The following is a 10,238-nucleotide window of genomic DNA, read 5'->3' as shown; positions in this document are numbered from 1 at the left end:
GCTCCCCGGGTCTCTTTTGGTCACTTGCCAGCCTGTTCGTTTTGCACTTCTGGGGGTCGGGGCAGTTGGGGTCATAACCAATCCTGGCAGCATCACTTTGGCCGCGGAAAGACGGGTATGTGGATTTTAAACCCAGGCCACGGGTGGGGCAGGTGAGGAGACGGATGTGAGCGCCACTTGCCTCCAGCTCTGGAGTCCCCCAGAGCCCAGCCCCAGGCTCAGCGAGCCGCTGGTTCCCTGCAGGGATGCGGAAGCTGCCGCAGACACCGGGACCTGCAGCCCTTCAGGTTCTCCGAGGCGCCTGGGCTTCCTGCCCGCTGCGCTGCTCTCAAGGCCATGTCATGAGCATTTGGGGACAGTGAGAAGGGCATGCAGAACGGGAGGGGAAAGGAGCCTTTGGACTGCATGAATTGCCTTTTAGCTGTAGTAAGGGACCCTCGCAGAGTGAGGAGGCAAAGAGTGAACCCCGCTGGGGCTGGGGGACTTCCGTCCACACCCTGCTCTCATGGTTGTTCCCATCGGAAGACGCAATTAGGGCCTCTGAGACCTCCGAGGAAGGCGGGCAGTTACAAGGGGTTCCCAGAACCCCTCACTACAGGACTGAAGAGGTGGGCTCAGTGTTGAGGGGTGGGACTCGGGCAGTAAGAGGTGTAACTTTCTGGGATGGAGGCTTGCTAGGATATCCTCTCGTGCCCAACTGCTGACTGCCGCCTGGAAACAGCGTTTCGGGAGCTGCAGCGGGACCCTCGCCGGCTCCTCCTGAGCCCACCTGGTTTGAGCAGACTGACCTGATCTCTTAAGACCTGACCCTATGCCCGCCCTCTTCCTCCGCTGGCTCTCAGAAAGGGTCACCGTGGTCAACAAGCCTTGTGACTTGCAGGACTGTTGAAGCCAAAGGCAATTGCCTTCCAGAGTCAAGGACTCCGCCTGCTGGGAACACCCAGCTCCAGGCTCACAGGGGGCAGCTTCCCCCAGAGGCACTGAGCGGACACAGCTTTAGGAGGTCATTCACTGCCCCTCCCACTCACAGCCCCAATGTGATGGATGAGAAAATGGGTCCAATCAATTCAGGTCAACTTACCTCTAACCTTTTTATTGTGAAAAAGTTCAAATATAGAGATACATAGAAAGAACAGGGCTGAGGGTACTGGCTTACATCTGTAATCCCAGTACTTTGGGAGGCCAAAACAGGAGGATGGCTTGAAGCCAGGAATTTGAGACCAGCCTGGGTAACACTGTGAGACTACTATCTCTACACAAAAATAACGATAATTAGCCAAGCATGACGGCGAGCACCTGTAGTGCTAGCTACTCAGGAGGCTGAGGAGGGAGGATCACCTGAGCCCAGGAGTTTGAGGTTGCAGTGAGCTGTGATCATGTCACTGCACTCCAATATGGGCAACAGAGTGAGACTTTCTCTCTAAAGAAAGAAAAAAATCTGTTTGTGTGTATATATCTATCTATCTATATATAAGATAGATAGATAGATAGATAGATAGATAGATAGATAGATAGATAAGAGAGAACAGTACAATGAGCACACTTACACCCAGCCCCTGGATTCAACCACTGTTAACATTTTGACATATTTCTTTGTTCTTTATATTTGAATTTGAACCCTTCCAAATTAAATCCTTTAGCTTGCATCTCTGGAGAAACAAGGACATGATCTCATACATAACCATAGTGACATTATCACTTCTAACAAAATAAAAATAAAGACCTGGGCACTGAGTGTGGACATGGGGGTGGGGTGGGGACTAGCAAACATTTCCAGGCCATGGCGATGGCAGAAGGGACCCAGCAGGAGATCACCCTGGGGTTTTGAGCTTGGGAGACTGGAGAGATGAGGAATCCTGGACGGGAGCAAGTCTGTGGTGGAAGCGGAGATGGTGGTGAGACCAGGCCCTGGGGACCCCTTGGTCACGGAGGCAGCATAGCCCTGGTGTGCATTGGTTCTCATGCAGATCTTCAGGCTGGGAGTAAAAGTCGGTCACTGCCCTGCTGCTGAGTGGGAATCCTGGAGTGCTGCGCTAGGAGGGTGGTGGGGAGAGGTGGGAGAGGGCAGAGGGCAGACTGAGCTCCAGGGGACTTGGCTGCAAACCCAACAGATGATGGAGAAGACAACAGTGCGAGTCATGCCCAGCCTTCCAGCATATTCTCGTCTCCAGCACACAAATTCATTCCACTCTCACTCGACAGGTTTCATTCATCCATGTTCAACAACTACTCTGTGCCCGGGCAACCAGGATTGGGAACCCAGCTTTTTAGTTCAATTCACCAAATGTTTGTTGTCACAGAGCCTGTGCAGCTGTGAACAGTGGGCTCCACCTGACACCCACACCCTCAGGGAGGGACCTCAGCATTGCCTTCCCTCGGCTCCCAGCAGTATCTGTGGGGTGATGCCACAGTGGGCTCTGCTCTTTCTCCAAAGTATGGATGCCTCCCCACTCCCCGAGTCTCAGCATGTGCTGGGCACAGCCCATGCTCTGGAGTGCAGAGACCTAGGTTCCTAGCCTGGTTTTGCCTCCTCTAGCTGGGTGACCTTGGGCCAGTCACATAACTACCCCAAGCCTCAGATCTTCATCTGTCACAGGGCAGCGGCCTGTCTGTCTCACAGGGTGTGTGAGACTCAAATGCCATGAGGGAAGGGCCGGCCTGGTCAGCTCCAGCAGCGTGAGTGGGACTGACCACGACAGCAATGAACGGCTCCACTCCCTACTCCTAGCCAAGAGCGCGTGCCTGAAACAGAAATTGATTCCCACTTACCGCAATACGTTATAAACATCGGTGCTTAGGGTTCAAAGAAACTCCAGTTTCTAATCCAATTTCTGTTTTTGTTTTTTTTTGGTGGAGGAAACAATCATCCCTGAACTTTGGCCTTGCTACTTTCAAATTCTGTCACTGTGGGAACTTTCCTTTTTGAGCTTCAGTTTCTTTATTCCTACTGATCCCTGATGACATGCACTTTTTACCAAGTTTCAGTGGGGTGCAGTGAGAGTCGAGTGAGGTAATGCTTTTGAAATACATTGTGAACCATCAAGCACTGGAAGAGGACTAATCCAAACACCGTTAAACACATAGCCAGGGCATCTTCAGCAGAATGGTCAGTAAGGCAAATAATTTATTTCAATTTGCTCTGCTATTTGCCAAAGCCAAGTGTCCTCCTATTTCCGTATAGCTTCCAGCCTCCCTGTTTGAAAAAACTTTCTATAGTTATTTATACTAAGGTGTAAATGATTGCTGTCCCACTCAGCAAGCATTTTCTGAGCATCTCACTGGTTAGCTCTCCACCAGGTCCATTCCCCCGCCCTCTCTGTCCAGCCCTGTGCTCAGGAGGCTGCCCCACGGGCTGCTCCTTGCCCTTGGGCTACCAGTTGGTTCATGCTGGGCTTTAAAAAATTAAGAACAATTGTACTGCAGAATAATGTGCATCTGCGAAAATGCACAGATCTTTGTGTGAATGTTTATGTTCATAAACTGCTTGGATCAAGACAGAATATTTGCAGTGCCCATTAGGCTCCCTTTGCCCCTTCAAGGCCGTACCACCCACCCCACACTGGAGATCACACTGTTTATTTTATTTTATTTTATTATTATTATACTTTAAGTTTTAGGGTACCTGTGCACAATGTGCAGGTTAGTTACATATGTATACATGTGCCATGCTGGTGTGCTGCACCCATTAACTCGTCATTTAGCATTAGGTATATCTCCTAATGCTATCCCTCCCCCCTCCCCCCACCCCACCACAGTCCCCAGAGTGTGATGTTCCCCTTCCTGTGTCCATGTGTTCTCATTGTTCAATTCCCACCTATGAGTGAGAACATGCGGTGTTTGGTTTTTGTCCTTGCGATAGTTTACTGAGAATGATGATTTCCAATTTCATCCATGTCCCTCCCTACAAAGGACATGAGCTCATCATTTTTTATGGCTTAGTATTCCATGGTGTATATGTGCCACATTTTCTTAATCCAGTCTATCATTGTTGGACATTTGGGTTGGTTCCAAGTCTTTGCTATTGTGAATTAGTGCTGCAATAAACATACGTGTACATGTGTCTTTATAGCAGCATGATTTATAATCCTTTGGGTATATCCCAGTAATGGGATGGCTGGGTCAAATGGTATTTCTAGTTCTAGATCCCTGAGGAATCACCACACTGACTTCCACAATGGTTGAACTAGTTTACAGTCCCACCAACAGTGTAAAAGTGTTCCTATTTCTCCACATCCTCTCCAGCACCTGTTGTTTCCTGACTTTTTAATGATTGCCATTCTAACTGGTGTGAGATGGTATCTCATTGGGAGATCACACTGTTTTGCCTTCCATTACAACAGGTTCATTTTGCGTATTCTTGAACTTTGTATAAATAGAATCACGCAGGGTGTTCTCATTTGTGCCTGGTTTTGTTCACTCTTCATTGTGCCTGTGAAATTATTCATTTTATTATGTATGTTATTTGTTTGCTCATTTTTGCTGCCAAGGAAAACTGCATTGTGTGATATTTATGTTCCATTCCACAGCCCATGGCTATCTGGCCGGTAAGGATCCACAAGGCTGCAAGGCACTTTTGTATGTTTCCTGGTTGCACATGTGTGTTGCTTTCTCTTGGATGGAGGGGCCATGGAGACGTGGACACATCTGAATGGAGTGGCAGAGGGACAGATGACCATGGGTACAAACTTCATCTCCCAGGAACAGGTGTGGAAGGTGGGATTTGAAGCCTGACCAGGAGGTCTGCCTGGGCATCTGCACTTCCGGCAGTTCAGGTTTGATTTCTAGTGTCTCAAATCTATGCAACGATGCCTTGGCCATGAGCTGGGTTACAGCAAAAAACTAAGGTGAATTTTCACAAAATTGAGGAGCATTGCTTGCAGTCGACTAAGATGTCTTTCTTCACATTGTTAACTAATGAGGTCAGGCGTGCCCGTTAGGAAAGTGAGCGGGTTTGTAGGCAGAAGGGCCAGGGCAGCAGATGGGGCTTTAGTGGGTTCACACTTGATGGCCCAGGGCTGGTGAGCCCTGTGGTGTGGGAAAGATTACGCAGGAAGTCAGGGCGCCATCTCTCCTCGGTGTTCCAATTCCAAGCCTCAGTTCCACACACAGAATAACCATAAACAGGGAAATCCGGCTCTCTGCATCTGTCGTGTATGCTGTCATGTATGCAGAGAGCTGAATTTGAGAGGGCAGCTGCAGCACATTCCGAACAGGAGGAGTTGAAATTCACCTGCCCTCAGCAATGCCCGATTTGAAGTGCAGGTCCTAGGTTTCAGAGTTGGTACCCAAGGTTGCAAAGGGTGAGGGCAGTCAGGAAACTTGTGTGAGGAAACTTGTGTGAGGAAACTCAGTGTAGACAATTGCTTGTCCAACTAGGTGAAAAGCAAAAGATCCTTTTAATTCTGGAGTAGACATTAAGAATTTCTTGATTTCTTGGGCAGCTTACAATAAAAACTCAATGTGGCAGGCTGGGCGTGGTGACTCACACCTGTAATCCTAGCACTTTGGGAGGCCAAGGCAGGAGGATCTCTTGAGGCCAGGAGTTTGAGACCAGCCTGGGCAGCATAGTGAAACCCCATTTCTACAAAAATGAACTAATTAGCTGGGTGCGGTGGGGGATACCTGTGGTCCCAGCTACTCTGGATGCTGAGGTGGGAGGATCACTTGGGCCCAGGAGTTCAACGCTGCACTGAGCTATGATTGCATTGCTGCACTCCAGCCTGGGCAACAGATTGAGATTCTGTATCTAAAAAACAAAATAAAATAAAATTTAACAAAACTCAATCTTGTATTATTTCATGCCTACGATATTTAATGGGGCCCCCATACATTGATTCTTAACCTTTTGGGGCTCAAAATCCCTGAAACGTCTGATGAGAGTGATAGCCCTTCTCTCCGAAAAGACTCATATAACCCAGCGACATTGTGCTCACACTCTGGGGGTCCCCTGTGCCACAGGCTGGGAAGCCTGCTCTGAGGGGAGGCATGGTCTCTGCAGGCTGCAGCCGACCCTTCAGTGCTTTGTGCTATTAACAAGCTGGGCACTCCGGACACTTGTTTTGGTTGTGGCTGTTGCTGGGCTTGGATGTTTATTTTCCTTCCAAATATAGGAACAAAGGTGATGTTCTTTTCACTGACTTCTATATGTGTTTTTCTGTCCAAAAAAAGTGGCCAAAGAAGCCTGTGTTCAGAGCTAATTCCAGGACTTTCCCAACTGGGCAGGAGGGCAGAGCAGACTCTGCTTCGTGCAATGGGGGTGTCAGCGTCAACAGCAGCACGTCCAAGACACCAGCCCCAGGCTCTCCATACAAAATGTCCTGATCTTCCAGAAAGGTTTTAATAACATCTTAACTCTATAAGTAATAGATAAATACTGTGTCATTATTAATGATTTTTATGTAAACGTTGTGGAGAAGGCAAAATCTTCTGGGATCATGGCCTCCAATCCTGCCCCTCTCCTGCCCCGTCCTCAGCTCGCTCTGAATCCTCCAGTGCCTTGTCCTGTGGGTGATACCCACACATCACAAGTGGGATTCTGCACTGTGGGTGGTTTGCACAGCGGTATCATATTCCACGGAATGTTCACAGCTTGCTTTCTCACCCAACAGTGTGTAGCTCTTCCTGTCCCCGGGCACGGGGACTGCCCCGCTGTTGTAACTGCCTGGAGTTCCCGGCAGGTGTACAGCGCATCACAGCGAACATCTCCCTCTTGCTGCCCTCTGCGCTGTTTCCAGTTGGTCCTTGGCATCCACAGTGCTCTCCTGAGCATGCTCGCATGCATCCTGTCTCCGTGGGTGCCTCGCTGGGGGTAATACCAAGAAGTGGAATTGGTGGGTTTTAGGGTATGTATATTTCATTTATTTATTTATTTTGTTATTTCGTTTTTATTTCATAACCATAAAGTGCAGTCCAGCTAAATATGGAGGGAAGTAAGAAAACTGTGGAAGCCAAAGAACTGCAGCGGGAGCACAAAGATGATAGGACGCTGTGAGCAATGGGGTGGAGGGGGCGCTCCTGAGCTACAGAAGGAGTGCGCCGGTGGTTAAGAGAAAACACAAGTCAAATCGTTAGCGCTGTCCACAGTCGGCAGTGGTGATCCGCTGCTGGTCGTGCCATTCCTGGGCCCAGGCGCTCCGTGGCTTCCACCGTGTCCATGCACCTTGCCAAAGACCACGTGCTTGCCACCCACTCAGTCCTGGCTGCGCCGGTGAGATACTGGGACCTGTTTGTGTTAGGTCCAGCATTTGCCATGGACAAGACACCAGGACCCAGATGAATCAGGATGAAGTCCTTGTCATCAATTTTCTCCCTGCAGACTTGCCGCCAGTGTCATTATGGCCTGTGAAGTCGCCAGCCTGGCAACAAGACCTGGAATAATTCTGTGGAAGCAGGAACCCTCATAGGCAAATTCTTTCTCTTCAGGGTTCAGAGCATGAAAGTTTTCTGCTATTTTTGGAACTTTGTCCGCAAATATTCGGAAGGAGACCAGCCCAAGGGCTCACCACCAATGGCAATGTCAAAGAACACGGTGGGGTTGACCATGGCTGATGGCAGGGGACTCTGGGAGGCAGCGGCGTCTGCAAAGCTGTGTATTTTAAAATTTCAATAGATCCCGCCTTGCTTCTCTTTCCTGCATGTATGCAGCCCCTTTCCCTGTGCTGACCATGAAGCTTGGCTGGACGGTGTCTCTACAGTGCTCTCCTTCCCCTTTCTATGACATCAACATCATACTAATGATAATGTAATAACTGCGGTTTATGCCTTCCTTCCAACCTTATTCAGAAACTTACCTTTTCAAACAATAGAAAAACAGAAAAACGGATGGAAATGGCTGGTGAGAATTGCCCTTGAGGAAATGTCCAGGATGACGGATAATCAAAGGGAAATAAAACAGTCCCTGGATGCCGCCTTTTGCCTGTCCGTTTGGTAAAGCTTGTTTAAAAGAACCCAGCCATGTTGGGGAGGGTGCAACGAAACAGGAATTTGTACTCTTACTGCTGATGGGAGGATCACCTGCTCCACTCTTTGGAAAGTAATTGGGTAAATATGTATCAAAACTTGAACAAATGAGCCTCACCTTTCCTCCACCAATTCCACTTCCGAGAACCGTTTCTGGCAGCCGCGGCACCCCTGGTGTGTATTTGGTCCACTCAGTCGGCAGGTCTCGTGCAGAAAGGGCAGGAAGGAGGTTGGTGGCGGCTGTGGGGTTGCGGCGGCTCTGCACCCGGCTGGCTTTGCGTCGTTGTTCCTCATGCCCGGGTTTTGCCATCTTCACCTCCAGCCTGGAGCTCCAGCCTCTGCCCTCCCTGGTGCCTCCCTTCAGCTCATGGAAATGGTCCTCTTTTGACCCTGCTGGGTGGGGTGGCCCTGACCAGAAAGAGCCAGTGGCTGCTCAACGCTGCCTCCTCCCTGGCATGGCCGTGGTTTGAGAGGCCCCAGCAGAGCACAGTGACCTGGTGCCAGGGCCCCCTTCAGCACACCACGGGATGGGGAGTGGGTCTGAGGGCCGACCCTGCCTTCCTTTTTTTTTTTTGACAGAATCTCACTCTGTCACCCAGGCGGGAGTGCAGCGGTGCGATCTCGGCTCACTGCAACCTCTGCGGCCTGGGTTCAAGTGATTCTCCTGCTTCAGCCTCCTGAGTAGCTGGGATTACAGGTGCCTGCCACTGCGCCTGGATAATTTTTGTAGTTTTAGTAGAGACGGCGATTCACCATCTTGGTCAGGCTAATCTTGAACTCCTGACCTCGTGATCCACCCGCCTCGGCCTCCCAAAGGGCCTGGATTACAGACGTGAGCTACTGCGGCCGCCAACCCTGTCTTCTTAGGTGGGGCAGGCCGAGCTCTGACTGCAGCCCTGGGGCCAGAAGAAAAATGACTTGTTTGGAAAAGGCGAAGTTTCGGCATTTCGAGGGATTTATGTTAGAGCCCTAAGTGGAGCACGTGTTTCAGGCGATTACACTTTCTGAAATAGCAGCATAGTCATGAAGTGACATACCTGGATTCAATAGCCAACATTCAGAGAAAGGGAAGCTCTCATAAAAATCGTGTTAATGCAACCAGAATCTTCTCTCCCTTATTATTATATGACACCCAGGATTGGCTAAGAGAAAGGCATTCCCCTCCTTTCCACTTCATAATTAAAGACAACCTGAAATGACAGAACCCCAAGGATCATGTGACTAGATGAAAACTGCTTAAAGGACAGAAAAAATTCAAAAACCCACTAACTGTGTTCACCATGGATGCTCTAGTGCAGTAATTTTTACCGAGTAAACAATGTATCCTCATTATTGTCTTCCTGAGCTCCTCCACTTTTTCCTCTTAAATTTGCAATTTCTGATGCTCCTACAGGGCATGGAATCTGATGGGTTGGTCTACAAATATTGACAAAATAGAAAGAAGAAAAACAAAAGAAACAAGCTTACCACCTCACATTATGTGTGAACTTCAAACTCAGTCGTACAATGTTTCTCTTTACCTACATAAGATGGAAAGAGAGAATTAAATAAGGCCTTGTAAGAATTCTGAGGCACTGCTTATAATGTCTCAGGTGAGTCCCTGAGAATGAGCTGGAGTTGTTTGCAATACCCACCTCGTATTTGCACCTTTAACACACATGGACACACAAAACTCCCAGACTCTCAGGCCTCAACCAGAACCTCAATATTTGGTTTTGTGGAGTCCGGCTTTTTAAGTTTCTCAGAAAACTGCCCACAGCATTTGCCTTAGTGGATGGCACTGGGGATATGAAACAGAAATGGAAAGGAAATTGAGATTTTTCCTGTGATCTTTCGTACTTTTTGAATTTTGTACCTTTTAATTTCAATTAAAACCACATGCATGTATTACCAATATAAGGTATTAATTGATTAGTTATCTTTCAATATCAGCTCAGAATGCTCTTCAGTTACTTCTGTGTAATTATATAGACATAATTGTGAAGAATTCTTTTTTTTTTTTTTTTAGTATTTATTGATCATCCTTGGGTGTTTCTCGGAGAGGGGGATGTGGCAGGGTCATAGGATAATAGTGGAGAGAAGGTCAGCAGATAAACACGTGAACAAAGTTCTCTGGTTTTCCTAGGCAGAGGGCCCTGCGGCCTTCCGCAGTGTTTGTGTCCCTGGATACTTGAGATTAGGGAGTGGTGATGACTCTTAACGAGCATGCTGTCTTCAAGCATCTGTTTAACAAAGCACAACTTGCACCGCCCTTAGTCCATTTAACCCTGAGTGGACAC

The 10,238-nt window shown here is 48.6% G+C and overlaps 1 pseudogene, besides 1 other annotated feature; it reads right to left on the bottom strand.

The window, feature by feature from the left end:
* Positions 26–632: an enhancer, noted in NCBI's record as "H3K27ac-H3K4me1 hESC enhancer chr18:12253496-12254102 (GRCh37/hg19 assembly coordinates)". NCBI's record gives its function as "activates a minimal SCP1, AML or CMV promoter by ChIP-STARR-seq in primed H9 embryonic stem cells {active_cell/tissue: H9 hESC(primed)}" and the evidence as "EXISTENCE:reporter gene assay evidence [ECO:0000049][PMID:30033119]".
* Positions 7,043–7,542, bottom strand: PPIAP56 (peptidylprolyl isomerase A pseudogene 56; annotated as a pseudogene).

This window comes from Homo sapiens, chromosome 18 (genome assembly GCF_000001405.40).
Source record: "Homo sapiens chromosome 18, GRCh38.p14 Primary Assembly".
NCBI classification, from domain to species: Eukaryota; Metazoa; Chordata; class Mammalia; order Primates; family Hominidae; genus Homo; species Homo sapiens.
This window is presented reverse-complemented; position numbering and strand designations above follow the sequence as displayed.